Source organism: Homo sapiens, chromosome 2, assembly GCF_000001405.40.
Source record: "Homo sapiens chromosome 2, GRCh38.p14 Primary Assembly".
NCBI classification, from domain to species: domain Eukaryota; kingdom Metazoa; phylum Chordata; class Mammalia; order Primates; family Hominidae; genus Homo; species Homo sapiens.
In genome coordinates, this window is record NC_000002.12 from 162,856,207 (window position 1) to 162,871,247 (window position 15,041).

Here is a 15,041-nt window from a genome sequence, read left to right on the forward strand (position 1 = left end):
AAAAAAGGATGAGTTCATGTCCTTTGCACGGACATAGATGAGGCTGGAAACCATCCTTCTCAACAAACTATCACAAAGACAGAAAACCAAACACCACATGTTCTCACTCATAGGTGGGAACTGAGCAATGAGAGCACTTGGACAAAGGGTGGGGAACATCACACACTGGGGCCTGTCGGTGTGTGCGGGCTGGAGGAGGGATAGCATTAGGAGAAATACCTAATGTAAATGACGAGTTGATGGGTGCAGCACACCAACATGGCACATGGCACCTATGTATCAAACCTGCACGTTGTACACATGTACCCTAGAACTTAAAGTATAATAAAAAATAAAATAAAATTATCTTGAGATCATTATCGGCCCACATGTAGTTATAAGAAACAATACATAGTGATCTTTTATACTTTCACTGGTTTCTCCCAATGGTGTCACATTTATAACTATAGTACAATGTGTGGACTCTAAAAAGTACAGGAAAATGGGTGGGCATCTCTTGGTATGTTGGGGGTCCCCAATAACACCCTCAGGCTTATTGATCACTAGAATGACTCACAGGACTCATAACATTGTTATAGTTTATTACAGTGAAGAGTAAAGACTAATATCATCAAAAGGAAAGGTACACAAGTGAAGTTCAGGAGAATCCAGGTGTAAGATTCCAGATGTTATCTCCCAGTGAAGCCATATTTAGACAGGATTGATTTTCCCAGAAATGATGTATTATCACACATGTGAAATTTTGCCTGCCAGGGAAGCTTACCCGAGACTTGGTGCTTAAGATTTTAATTGGAGATGAGTAAGAGAGGTGTGCAGTACCTGTGTGACTGACATCAGCTCTTCAGACTCTAGATCCCCAGATGTCAAACTGATACAGAATCATCAAAGGCCTCAGGCACAAAAAACACTCTTATCAAGCAGGATGTTCCAAGGACTCAGAGATCAATTCCCAGGATCCAAACCAAGGGCTAGTCCTGCCAATAGGTCTTTTTGGGGGTGGAGTTGGGGGGAAGAGCAGGCATTGGGAAACCCAGGCAGGTAATCTCTGGTGCTTGTCTAATCCAAGGGTTCTTTGGAATGAATTTTCTTATGACATTATTTTGGACTATTATTGAAAGAAAAAACGGAGATCTGCTGACACTCTGTGTCAGAGAGAGAGAGCAGTTTTTAATGGTTGTGTTAACTTCTATCACAATGTATCACTATGGAGGAGAGGGCTTATTGGCTGCACTAGACACCAGAAGTGGTCTTCAAAAGTTAGGCTAGAGGGTAGAATTGAAGATTGTGCACAAACCTCATTATTCCAAGCCATACCTCTTTCTCCATAGTCCTCTGTATGATTTTACTAAGATGTTTTAGATTTTCTCTTTCTTTCGTTTAGACACACTTTCAGTTCCTTGGAGACCATGTGTTATTTATTTCAATATTCCTAATATTGAATTGCCATCTGGCACACAGCAGGGTCCAATAAATGTTGTTTAATGAAAGAAGAAAGAGAAGCAAACCTCGTGAATATATGAATGGATGGATGGAAGGGAGGCAAGGTGGATGCAAAGAAGGAAGAAAACTAAGCAGGATGGATGATTGGAAGGAAGTTATGGCAGATGAGAGGAAAGGAAAAGTAGGAGGCTATGGGGATGAATTAGAGAAAATGAAAAGAGAGAAAAATAGAAAGAGGAAGGATGAAATGAAGGAAGCAAGGGAAGAAAGATGGAATGGAAGGAGGAAGAGAAGAAGGCAGAAATAAAGGGAAAGATAAAGATAAAGAAAAAAGTAAAGGAAGTTTGAATAAAAGGAAAAAAGAAATAGTGGAAAGAAGGAAAGATCAAAATGAAGGAAGGAAGTAGAAAGAAGGAAAGAGAAAGGAAGGAAGAAATTAAGGTAACCATGAGCCCACCATAACTTTTGTGGAAGATGGCCATTCCTACTACTACACACTCTAATAACCAATTAAAACAGCACCACCCCAAATCCACACCAACACCCCCATCTCACATGAAAGGAAATAACTACCTAATTTCCGAAAGGAAATAACTACCTAATTTCCAAGAACCATTAAAAAAGCTACTCCTAAATAAACATAGATATGCTTCATTCAAGTTGATTACAATCACACCATATGCTTGGTAGTGTAAAGGAGTCAGAAATAATTTCCTACAAACTGACATCCATTTTAATGACATTACAAAGAATAAATATGTATATAGAGTAAAGCAGCATGCTTATTTTCAATACAAAACAAATCCCATCTTGAAACTGCTAAATGGAAATATGTATTTGCAATTAAATACTTTGTGCTTGACTATATATCAAAGATAATCATATTGGCAAGTGGTTGTTATTGATGGTAACAGCAAAACCCAGGACTTATACATGCAACTCCATGTGCGTTCCTATTTGTTTTCAGTGTCTTTTCCTCTTCAACCTTCTCTGTACTGACTTTAAAGGGGACTTTGTTCACAGAGGGAGACAGGTGAGGGAACAACACTGTTGTCTCTCTCAGCTCTGTTTTATATCTAAGAAAATTGAGATCCAGAGGAGATTTGCTTTAGGTCACAAAAATGAGTTCAGCTCAGTTCATTTCCCAGCCTTGTAACTAATACATAAATCTCATGCCCTTCCTAACTGCTAAAACATACTCCTTCTTCTAAATCTGTTAAATTTCTAAATTGGATCACTAATTTGAATGTTTCTTTTTAACCAGCACTGCATATCTAAGCCATACTGCACTTTCAAGCACATTTTAGCAATGGTTTACAGCACTTGGATCTTGAAATTCTTTGAGATGTTTTTACCCGATGAGGACATATTTAATCTTTTCAAAGATAAATTTTCACTTATTTTTCTGTAATTTGTGCTAACTAAATATTCTGCCTCTTCTTGGTCAAAATATAATTATAAAATGGTATCACCCTAATATTTTATTTCAAGCCTTCTGCATTAAATTCTTTTGCTGAATATTCTCAATGTGTTTTATAAATGGAATTAATCTGAATAACAAAACTGTGGTGTCTGCCCTCCCTTGAATTAGTCGTTAACATTATTAGCTCTGGATAGAATTAAGCATTAGAAATAATGCTGATCAACGACACACATTCTTCCTATTGTACTTTTGAAGATTTAATTTCTTACCATGTTTTATCTGAATTAGTATTTCATAGCATAATGTCACATAGCAGCAAATAATACTGGATCATTTTCCCTGGCAGATCATTTGTCACTATCATTTCTTGTTATGCTATCAACTATAATCTAAAAAATGAATTCAGGTCAGAAATTCCTCTTTCAATTCTTTTCACTTTTGTTTCATGACATTTTGTCATTCACCATTATGGCTCAAAATGGGTTTTCTTATACCTTCGCCTGGCAGACACTACATTATGAAACATGCTGAAAATAAGACTAAGAGAAAAGAGACATTTTACCAATAGAAATCCTTTGTTCTAAACTAAGCTGGTTCAACCAGTGGCTCATGGGCCACATGTGGCCCAGGAAGGCTTTGAATGTGGCCCAACACAAATCTGTACACTTTCTTAAAACATTATGAGACTTTTTGGCAATTTTTTAAGCTCTTCAGTTATCGTTAGTGTTAGTGTATGTTATGTGTGGCCCAAGACAATTCTTCCAATGTGGCCCAGGGAAGCCAAAAAATTGAACACCCCTGTCTAAACAATTGCTTAAATAGTCAGTGAAACAAACCACCTTGGGCATTGGGTTCATGTGTGGTATTTTTAAGTCAGTTTCTGTAATAATAATTCAGCATAGTTCCAGAATCTAGCACCATTATAAAGACTTTCAACATTGGTGCCTGTATTAAGCAATTAATATTGGCATTGTCAGCTGAGATAAATTAGAAAAGTTCAGGTTATCTCATCAGCTTTGGCACTGATACAAGATTAAGTGGTAGAGGAGGGAGTTCCTTTCATGGTGTACTTGGAAGCGTATCTTTTAGTATTGTACTTGACTGCAAGCAACCCAAAACTCTACACTAACATACTTGACTCAGAAAGTCTGTCAGTCTTAAGCCATAAGAGTCTTCGTTACTCCTGGACCAGACAGCTCAAGCATATGCCATTAGAGACACAGAGTTGTTCTATCTTCTGCTTGACTCTCTTGCTCATGTTTGTTGCTTCCTGGCTGCAAAATAGCTACTGTATTTCCAGGCTTCCAATTCCAGACAAGGTGATATAAGGCAAGAAGAAAAAAAAAGGGGGCAAAAGGGCAGAAAAGGATGTACATGCTGAATCTGTCTCCTTTTTTTAAATTCAGGAAAACCTTCATATTCTCAGAATTCCCACCTAGCAAACGTTCTTTTATGACTCTTGGTCAGAACAATGCATCACAGCCACCCTCAACTGGAAAGTGGCTAGTTACTTTAACAAGGTTTACTTGATATCTGAAATTGTTCCACAGAGTTTTCTTCCTCTCTCAAATGCAAAGTTCTTAAGAAAATGTACACATGCTCAGGCAATAAAATATCCTCATTCCATACTCTTCCTCACATAATTCCTCCCCAAAATACTTTGACAGAAACAAAGATGTTTAGTAACCCAATGTTCTGACCATTAGATTTCCAATGTTTAAATCAAAAACATGACTGCTAAAAGCAAAATTTAAGAAATATACTAGGAAATCATTTGGAGAAAACTCTATTTTTCTAATGCCTCTCAAATCATACTACACCCAACACATACAAATAAGACTACTTCTTAACTAGATTATGATTTCCAAAGAGTTTCACTTTCTTTCATTCTTTCTATGTCATACCAGCATAGCAGAATGACTCCCTACTATTCTCAACAAAACTCAGCATCAAAAGTTTATCAGTCAAGGGTCCGTCATATGGTGGCTCAGTTGATATGACCAACATTTTGCTACTTTTTCAATCATGCTGAGTTGAACATAGGCCATGATTCTCTAATCAGGAAATGTAACTATAACTTGGGAACAGAAAAATATATATAATTATATATATATGTAATGCTATATAATTTTATTATTGATACATATATACTGATGCAAACGTTTGGCCATCTGTAATTATACATAAGCCTCTTTTATTGTTTAGCTGTGTAGCATTAAGAGCCATTACTTTTCAGTGATAAAGATTCCATTAAACTTATAAAACATTTGCATATCTCTATGGCAGATTGCTGGAAGAGAATAAGTCGGTAGCATATTACTATATTTTTAAAATAATTTTTACAAAGCTCTTCATTCTAACAAATAGCTTGCTCTGCTTCAACTTCTTTGTTTTAATAGTTTATTTAGTAGAGTCATAAGTTTTAACTGCATTATTTGGGAACAAGTAGTTCATAAATGTGCACAGATTATTAATGGGAGACATTCTTGTATTAGGATATTTCACATGAAGCAGTATATTTTAAAATATAAATAAAATTTTAAGTAACTTGTTATTTATATTTTCTGACATGTTTGAAGAAAGACTCCATTAAATAGAGTAATAGTGTTAAAATATATGCTGCATGTAAATACATATTATAACATCTGTACAGTTTACAAATGTGAATCTAAATGAAAGGGGACTTCATTTAATAGACATTATTTAGCTTAACGTAGTACCTATGATTGATCATTAAAATTCACTCTATGTTTTTGGGTATTCAAGGGGTAAAGGAAAATGAAATTGTTATATAATTGTATTGCTTGATACATAATTTATTATTTCAAGATAAACCAATATCATTTGGGTATTAAATTCTAAAATTAATATATGGTTATTTGTCCCAGGAACATACACAAATGGCTATAAAAACACAAAATAAGAAGAAGAAAATTGTGACATAAAGATAGAGAAATAAGTCCATGAAGAATTAATAGAATTCTGATGAGTAGAGAGGGGCGAAGGTTTTACAATTTTTTAAATAGTTGCTATTTCATATTTCATCAAACTATCAATTACATTTATTTATTTGAAATCATTGATCTTTTAACCTATGATCTTTTAAGAAGATTCAACTAAATGTAATTACCCTGGCTGCAAATGATATAAAAATCTTCAGATGCAGTAGAAGGAAGTGGTTATGGAAATGTTCCTCAAAGTCTTTTGCCAATGGATAAAACCAAACATTTATTTGTCTACACAAAAACTTGGATGATCAAAGGCCCCTATACATTATAATATCTGCCTTTCTGTTGTGCTATTTTTCCCTCCTGAAATGTTATCTTCTCCCATCTTAGACAAAGAAACAAAAACAAACCAAACTTCATTATATAGGGATCAGCTTAAATATTTGTTACTTCCCGTTGAAGCATTTATTGTTTATGTATGGTTGGTTATCTTCTTAAATTTCAATGTTTAGATGCCTCAGAATTCCATTTTGTCTTGAGTTATAGTTATTTCACCTATGTTTCTTCTAGAATTGGATTAGAAACTTCTTAAGGACATTTTCTGTTACCTATATATCTCCCCGCTGCCCACAATACCCAACATAGTTCTATGTATGTAGTTGATATATGATAATAATAAGCTATCTGAAAATAATTGATAATAAATGTCTATGCCTGAGATCTTGTCCATTAAGACTCATTCTAAGCCCTTAAGTATCTTTTAATTCTGAATGTTGAATATTTTGAATAGTAACTATCTACTGACCTTGGATATCTTGATGAAAAGGATTTAGGGAAACTTACAGGGAAATTGAGAGTTAATTAGGTTTGATAAAAGAAGCCTTTGGAGATACTGTTTATGGCACTGAAAATTAGTGCTTTGAAATGAGAATGAAATTAATGCACTTCTCATATTTAACCCTTAAAAAATGTTACAACCCCTGTTAAAGCCTTTGGTCTGTCACAGAACTACCTGAAGAGTATGTTGAGAATTAAAATTGAAAGATTTAGTACCTAATTTTCCCAGCCTTCCCCACCCCCAAAAAATACTTACTAATGATGTAATGCAGGGGGCTAAACTAAGCTGGAAGTTCACTGAAAACTGGAGTACTCTGCATCTTTGGAATTTATTTGCATGAAAATTCACTCACATCCATTTGGGCTTTATGGCCAAGGGCTCTCATATATAGACAGAAATCTATACATGTTCACCTACTATTAAGAAAACACAATGGGGATTTAGACAAACATGAAACAACATTTTAAACAATTTACTACATGTGTTTTTACATTAAACTTTTAAAATTCCATATATAACTTTTAAAGAAATTTATTATTTATTTTTTTCAAGTGACCTTTGTAAATTAATAAACACATAAAGGATTTTGTTATTAGATTTGAAATCTATTTAAATGAATCTTTCACATATAACAAATTCTTTTACAACTCTGTCATATATGCTTGCTATATGACATGTGTAATCTTCGCAAAGCAGGGTTTTTTTTCATTGTTTGTATTGTTTACCACTATATCCTCAGGACTTGAATAAGCATGCTTATCACATGGTAGGTGGTAATAAATATTTATTTAATTAACTAACACAATCACATTGCTTCTTTTTAAATATTAAACTAAATATCATTACCAAGTATTTATAAAGTGTATGTTTATATAGTATTCATATAATCCTGCCAGGACCTATGAGTGCTATGAATGATACTAAAGTCCTTACTCTGTTTGTCCCTATGAATCCATTATCCAATATTTTCCACCCTGTACTTTGCCCTAGGAGGCTGAACCACATGGACTGCATGATCAGCATTCCCTTGCCCTATGATTCTGATTAAGTTTATCAATGAGTGAACCAACCAGAGAGTGAGACCAAAGTATTTATTCTCTTGCAAGGTCAACCAGGGCTGGCTGTATCTCTCCACCAATGGTCACTGCTCTTCTCAAAGTGGTTGATAAGCAACTGTATTGGTCCATTCTCATGCTGCTATGAAGAAATACCAGCCTATATTTAAAAAGAAAAGAGGCTTAATTGACTCACACTTCCACATGGCTGGGAAGGCCTCAGGAAACTTACAACCATGGCACAAGGGGAAGCAAACATGTCCTTCTTCACCTCGCAGCAAGAGTGAGAAGTGCCATCAGGGGAAATGCCAGATGCTTATAAAATCATCATATCCTGTCAGAACTCACTCACTATCAGGAGAACAGCATGGAGGAAAACACACCAAAGGTTCAATTACCTCCATCTGGTCCTGCCCTTGACATGTGGGGATTATTATAATTCAAGGTAAGATTTGAGTGGGGACACAGAGCCAAGCCTTATCATTCCATCCTTGGCTACTCCCAAATCTCAAGTCTTTACATTTCAAAACACAATCATGCCCTTCTAACAGTTCCCCAAAGCCTTAATTAATTCCAGCGTTAACCCAAAAGTCCAAGTCCAAAGTCTCATCTGAGACAAGGCAAGTTCCTTCCACCTATGAGCCTGTAAAATCAAAAACAAGTTAGTTACTTCCTAGATACAATGGGGGTACAGGCATTGGGTAATATAGCCATTCCAAATGGGAGAAATTGGCCAAAACAAAGGGGCTACAGGCCCCATGCAAGTCTGAAATCCAATAGGGCAGTCATTAAACCTTAGAGTTCCAAAATGATCTCCTTCGACTCCATGTCTCACATCTAGGTCACGCTGATGCAAGTGGTGGGCTCCCATGGCCTTGGGCAGCTCTGCCCCTGTGGCTCTGCAGAGCACAGCCCCACTCCTGGCTGCTTTTACGAGCTGGCATTGAGCATCTGTGGCTTTTCCAGGTACACAGTGCAAGAAGTCAGTGGATCTACTATTCTGGGGTCTGGAGGATGGTGGCCCTCTTCTCACAGCTCCTCTAGGCAGTGCCCCAGTGGGGTGTCTGTGTGGGGGTTCTGACCCCATATTTCCCCTTTGCACTGCCCTAGCAGAGGTTGTCCAGGAGAACCTCTCCATGAGAATCTCTGCTCTGCCCCTGCAGCAAACTTCTGCCTGGACATCCAGGCATTTCCTTACATCCTCTGAAATCTAGGCAGAGGTTCCCAAACCTCAATTCTTGGCTTCTGTGCACCTGCAGGACCAACACCATGTGTGCCAAGGCTTGGGGCTTCCACCCTCTGATGCAATAGCCTGAGCTGTACCTTGGCCCCTTTTAGCCATGGTTGGAGTGGCTGGGACACAGGGCACCAAGTCCTGAGGCTACACACAGCAGGGAGACCCTGGACCCAGCCCAGGAAGCCATTTTTCCCTTCTAGGCCTCCAGGCCTTTGATGGGAGGGGCTGCCATGAAGGTCTCTGACATACCCAGGAGACATTCTCGCCATTGTCTTGGTGATTAGCATTTGGCTACTCGTTAATTATGCAAATTTCTGCAGCAGCTTGAATTTCTTCCAAGAAAATGGGTTTTTCTTTTTTATCATATGGTCAGGCTGCAAATTTTCCAAACTTTTATATTCTGTCACCTCCTGAATGTTTTGCTGCTTAGAAATTTCTTCTGCCATATACCCTAAATCATCTCTCCTAAGTTCAAAGTTCCACAGATCTCTAGGGCAGGGGTAAAACACTGCCATTCTCATTGCTAAAACATAGCAAGAGTGACCTTTACTCCAGTTCCCAAAAAGTTCCTCATCTCCATTTGGGTCCAGCTCAGCCTTGACTTCATTGTCCATATCACTATTAGTATTTTGGTCAAAACCATTCAACAAGTCTCTAGGAAGTTCCAAACTTTCTCACATCTTCCTGTCTTCTTCTGAGCCCTTCAAACTGTTCCAACCTCTACCGGTTACCCACTTCCAAAGTTGTTGCTTCCGCATTTTCGGTTATCTTTATCCCACTCTCTGCAGTATCAATTTACTGTATTAATCCATTCTCATGCTGCTATGAAAAAATACCCAAGACCGGATAATTCATAAATAAAAGAGGTTTAATTGACTCATGGCTCTGCATGGCTGGGGAGGCTGCAGGAAACTTACAATCATGGCAAAAGGCATCTCTTCACAGGGAAGCAGGAGAGAGAATGAGTGCCAAGCAAAGGGGGAAAATCTCCTTATAAAACCATCAGATCTCATAAGAATTCACTATCACGAGAACAGCATGGGAGTAACCGCCCCCATGATTCAATTACCTCCCACTGGGTTCCTCTCACAAAACATCGGTATTATGGGAACTACAAGTAAAGATGAGATTTGGGTGGGGATACAGCCAAATCATATCAAGTGGTATAAGGCATGATAGTCTGGGTCCCCTGCTAGTGTAGTTTCTCTGCTTCTGTAAGATTGTGAACCCAGAAAATCTGAGATAGGTCTCAGTTCATTTAGAAAGTTTATTTTGCCAAGGTTGAGGACACACCCATGACCCAGCCTCAGGAAATCCTGAAAACATGTGCCCAAGGTGGTTGGGGCACAACTTGGTTTTATACATTTTAGGGAGACATAAGACACCAATTGATATATGTAAGAAATACATTAGCTCCATCCAGACAGGTAGAGACAACTCAAAGAAACTTCCTCCAACCTCCCTGGGGGCTTTCATGTCACAGGTAGGTGAGAGACAGATAGTTGCATTCTTTTGAGATTCTGATAAGTCTTTCCAAAGGAGGCAATCAGAATACACGTCTATCTCTGTGAGCAGAGGGATGACTTTGAATAGAATGGGAGGCCAATTTTGTCCGGAGTGGTTCCCAGCTTGAAGGGGCCCAAGATATATTTCCTTCCACAAGATTCATTATGTATAACTTCCACCTTATGATGAATTGATGCTGGGTGCACCTGATTTTATGACTTGATGTGTCTGACATGAGTCAGTTCAAGATGAGTTGCATGGTTGTTTGATGGCCCCTGGTCAGGCACTCCATCTCTATGAAAGCCCAGTATCACATCAGGGGCTGCTTTTTAATTGATGTGTAGTTTTCAGAAACACGTATCATTAACTTTTCTGCAGAACCTCAGGGGTCTATGTAATTTTCCTACTGGAACTTGCCACAAACTCTACATAGTATTTTTTTCTCAACACAGATAGCTCTACTATCAGAGGATCTGCTAGGTCATATGTCCAAAGGGGCAGAACCTCATGTATTGTACCAAAGCCCCCAATGTATTTTTTTACTATTTATTCATTTGATCTGAGTAATCAATATTATTAATATGGTATACCCAATATCATGTGTAATATATAAGTAATTCAGGTCTCTCGGTACTATATTATGACAGAGATTGAGGGAATTAACATAATGCTTGTGAGATAATAAATATATACTTTATCCATTTTATGTTAATGTGAAGTATTTCTGATTCTTATACCCCACTGACATAAAAAAGAATACATTTGCCAGATCACTGGCTGTGTACCTAAAACTATGTTACTCTATTCTAGATAAGATACCACATAGGACACCAGAGTTGCAAATAGGCTACTAATTGGTCAAGTTGGAAGTAGCCTATTATATCACCCTGGATCTGTCTGGTTTTATAGGAGTCAGATTGATAAATTAAATGGTAGAGGATGGGTGCCATTATCATTGCTTCCTTTAGGTCTTTAAAAGTGACACTAGGAGGTAGAGAAAGATGTTGGAATAGAAGGCGCCACAGATTGTCTTCCCTGCTAGGATACCAATTTAACAACTATCTAAACAAATAAAACATCTTCATAAGCACCAAAAATTAGGTGAGTACTCATAGTGCCCTGGTTTTAACTTCATATCACTTAAAGAGGCACTGAAGAGATATAAAAAAATACAGTCTTGACTCACTGATAACACTCCTCCCCCACCCCTTGGAAGCGGTGGCTGTGGCGTGGAAAGCATCTCTGGGCACTGAGGGAGGGAGAGCACAGTCATTGTGAGGCATTGATTTCAGCACTGTCCTGTTAGGGTAGAAAAGGAAATCAGATCAAACTCAGCTGATGTCCACCCTAGCCAGAGGGGAATCACAGATCCCAGCAGTGGGAACTTGAGTTCCTGTAAACCTCACCACTGAGGGCTAGGGTGCCATGGGTCTCTAAGTAAACTTGAAAGGCAGTCTAGGCTGTAAGGACTGCAACTCTTAGGTAAGTCCTAGTGCTGAACTGGGCCAAAAGACAGTGGACTGTAGGGGCATGTGACCTACTGAGACATCAGTTGGGGTGGCTAATGGAGTGCCGGCATCACCCCTTCCCTAAGCCCAGGCTGAATATCTCAAGGCTCCAAAAGAGACCCCTTCCTTCCTCTTGAGGAGAGGAAAGGCAAGAGTGATGAGGACTTTGTCTTGCATTTTGGATACTAGCTCAGCCACAGCAGGATACACCAGTCAGAGCTGTGAGGCCCCTGTTACAGGGCTTAGCTCCCAGACAACATTTCTAAACACACCCTGGGCCAGATGGAAACTTGCTGCCTTTAAGAAAATTATCCAGTCTTGGCAGCATTCATCACTTGGTAACTGAAGAACCCTTGGGTCCTGAATAACCAGCAGTGATACCCAGGTACTACGTCAGGGGCCTCGGGTAAGCCTCTGAGACTTGCTGTCTTCAGGAGAGATTCAAAACATTATCAGCTTTAGTGGCTTAGAGGCAAAACTGATCATGCTTCAGAAAAGCACAGGGAAAAGTAAATGATATTTTGTCTTGCATCTTAGGTACCAACAAGGTCACAGGAGGGTAGAGGCCTAAGTGGGCTCTTAGGGCCCTTAATTCCAGGACTTGACTCTTGGATAGTATTTCCGGATCTTCCCTGGGTCAGAGGGGAGCCTATTGCCCTGAAGGGTGAGTCTCAGGCTAGGCAGCATTCACCACAAGCTGACTTAAAAGCCCTTAGAACTTAAAAGAACATTGGTGGTAGTCTGGCAGTACTCCTCATGGCCTGTGGTAAAGGTGGCTATGGAGTGAGACTCTTCTGTTTTTGTAAAGGGGAGGGAAGAGTGAGAAGGTTTGCCTCCTGTGGTTTGAGTGCAGCCCACCCACAGTACAATGGAACACCAGGTAGATTTCTAAGGTTTTTCCCTCTAGTCCCTGACTTCCAGATGGTGCCTCTGGACCCATCTGGGGCCTGGGAGGAACTTATTGCCTTGAAGGAAAGAACATAGTCTGGCTGGCTTTTCTACCTGCAGATTGTAGAGTCCCAGGACCTTGAGCAGACATAGGCAGAAGCCAGGGAGTGAATACAGCAGGACTTAGGTGAGACCAATGCTGTGCAGCTGAATGTCTGACTCAGTACAGTCATAGTGGTGGTGGCCACAGGGATACTTGTGTTAATTCACTCTCAGCTTTAGGTGGCTCAGAACAAAGGGAGAGATTCCATTTGGTTGGGAGAAAGTAAGGGAAGAGAACAAGAGTCTCTGCCTGGTAATCCAGAGAATTCTCCCAGATCTTGTCCAAGACCATCAAGGCAGTACTCAATGACTCTGCAAAAAATACAACATTACTGGGTTTGGGGTGCCCCTTAAATCAGACACAGCTTAGGTCACAACACTCAAGTCCTTTCAAATATCTGGAATGTCTTCCTAAGAAGGATGGGTACAAACAAGCACAGACCATGAAGACTACAATAAATATCTATCTTCAATGGCCAGACACTGAAGAACATCTACTAGTACCAGCAATATCCAAGAAAACATGACCTTACCAAATGAACTAAATAAGGCACCAGAAACCAATTCTCAGGAAACAGAGATATGTGAACTTTCAGACAGAGAATTCAAAATATCTGTGTTGAAGAAACTCAAAGAAATTCAAGATAACACAGAGAAGGAAATCAGAATTATATAAGATAAATTTAATGAAGAGATTGAAATAATTAAAAAGGATTAAGCAGAAATTCTGGAGCTCAAAAATGCAAGTGGCATACTGAAGACTCTATCAGAGTACTTTAATAGCAGAATTGATCAAGCAGAAGAAAGAATTAGTGAGCTTGAAGACAGGTTATTTGAAAATACACAGAGGAGACAAGTGAAAAAATAAAAGAAAAGAAACAATGACCCATGCCTACAGTATCTAGAAAACAGTCTTGGAAGGACAAATCTAAGAATTATTGGCCCTGAAGAGGATGTAAATAAAGGGGTAAGGGTAGAAAGTTTATTCAGAGAGATAATAACAGAGAACTTCCCAAACCTAGAGAAAGAGATCAATATCCATGTACAAGAAAGTTATAGAACACCACGCAGGTTTAACCCAAAAAAGACTACCTCAAGGCATTTAATAATCAAACCCCCAAAGATCAAGGAAAAGGAAAGGATTCTAAAACAGCAAGATAAAAGAAACTAATAACATACAATGAAACTCCATTATGTCTGCCAGCAGACTTTTCAGTGGAAATCTTATCGGTCATGAGAGAGGGGCATAACATATTTAAAGTGCTAAGGGAAAAAACTCTTTTACCCTAGAATTGTATATCTGATGAAAATATCCTTCAAAGATGAAGAAGATATACTTTCCAAGACAAACAAATGCTGAAGGATTTCAACACCAGACCTGTCCTATAAGAAATGCTAACAGGAGTACTTAAATTAGAAAGAATAGGATGTTAGTGAGTGTATTAGTCCATTTTCACGCTGCTGATAAAGACATACCCGAGACTGGGAAGAGAAAAGGTTTAATTGGACTTAACAGTTCCACACGGCTGGAAGGCCTCAAAATCATGGCAGGAGACAAAAGGCACATCTTACATGGCAGCAGCAAGAGAAAATGAGAAAGATGCAAAAGCAGAAACCCCTGATAAAACCATCAGCTCTCGTGAGACTTATTCACTACCACAAGAACAGTATGGAGAAAACTGCCCCCAGGATTCAAATTATCTCCCACCAGGTCCCTCCCACAACACCTGGGAATTATGGGAGTACAACTCAAGATGAGATTTGGCTGAGGACACAGTCAAACCATATCAGTGAGCAATAAGAAATCATCATAAGTTATAAAACTGGTAATAGTATGTACACAGAAAAACACAAAATATAATAACTATCATGTGTAACCTACTCTTATCCTAAATAGAAAGACTAAACAGTGAACCAATCAGAATAATAACTATAACAACTTTTCAAGACATAGTAGAAACAACAAAAAGTTAAGAAGCAGAGGGAAACAGTTAAGGCATAGAGTGTTTATTAGTTTTCTTTTTGCTGGTTTCTTTGTTTATGCAAAGAGTGTTAAGTTGCTATCAGGTTAAAATAATGAGCTATAAGACAGTACT

The 15,041-nt window shown here is 38.5% G+C and overlaps 2 annotated features.

Annotated features, from left to right (window-relative positions):
* Nucleotides 8,375-8,876: an enhancer, noted in NCBI's record as "H3K27ac hESC enhancer chr2:163721091-163721592 (GRCh37/hg19 assembly coordinates)". NCBI's record gives its function as "activates a minimal SCP1, AML or CMV promoter by ChIP-STARR-seq in primed H9 embryonic stem cells {active_cell/tissue: H9 hESC(primed)}" and the evidence as "EXISTENCE:reporter gene assay evidence [ECO:0000049][PMID:30033119]".
* Nucleotides 8,877-9,376: an enhancer, noted in NCBI's record as "H3K27ac hESC enhancer chr2:163721593-163722092 (GRCh37/hg19 assembly coordinates)". NCBI's record gives its function as "activates a minimal SCP1, AML or CMV promoter by ChIP-STARR-seq in primed H9 embryonic stem cells {active_cell/tissue: H9 hESC(primed)}" and the evidence as "EXISTENCE:reporter gene assay evidence [ECO:0000049][PMID:30033119]".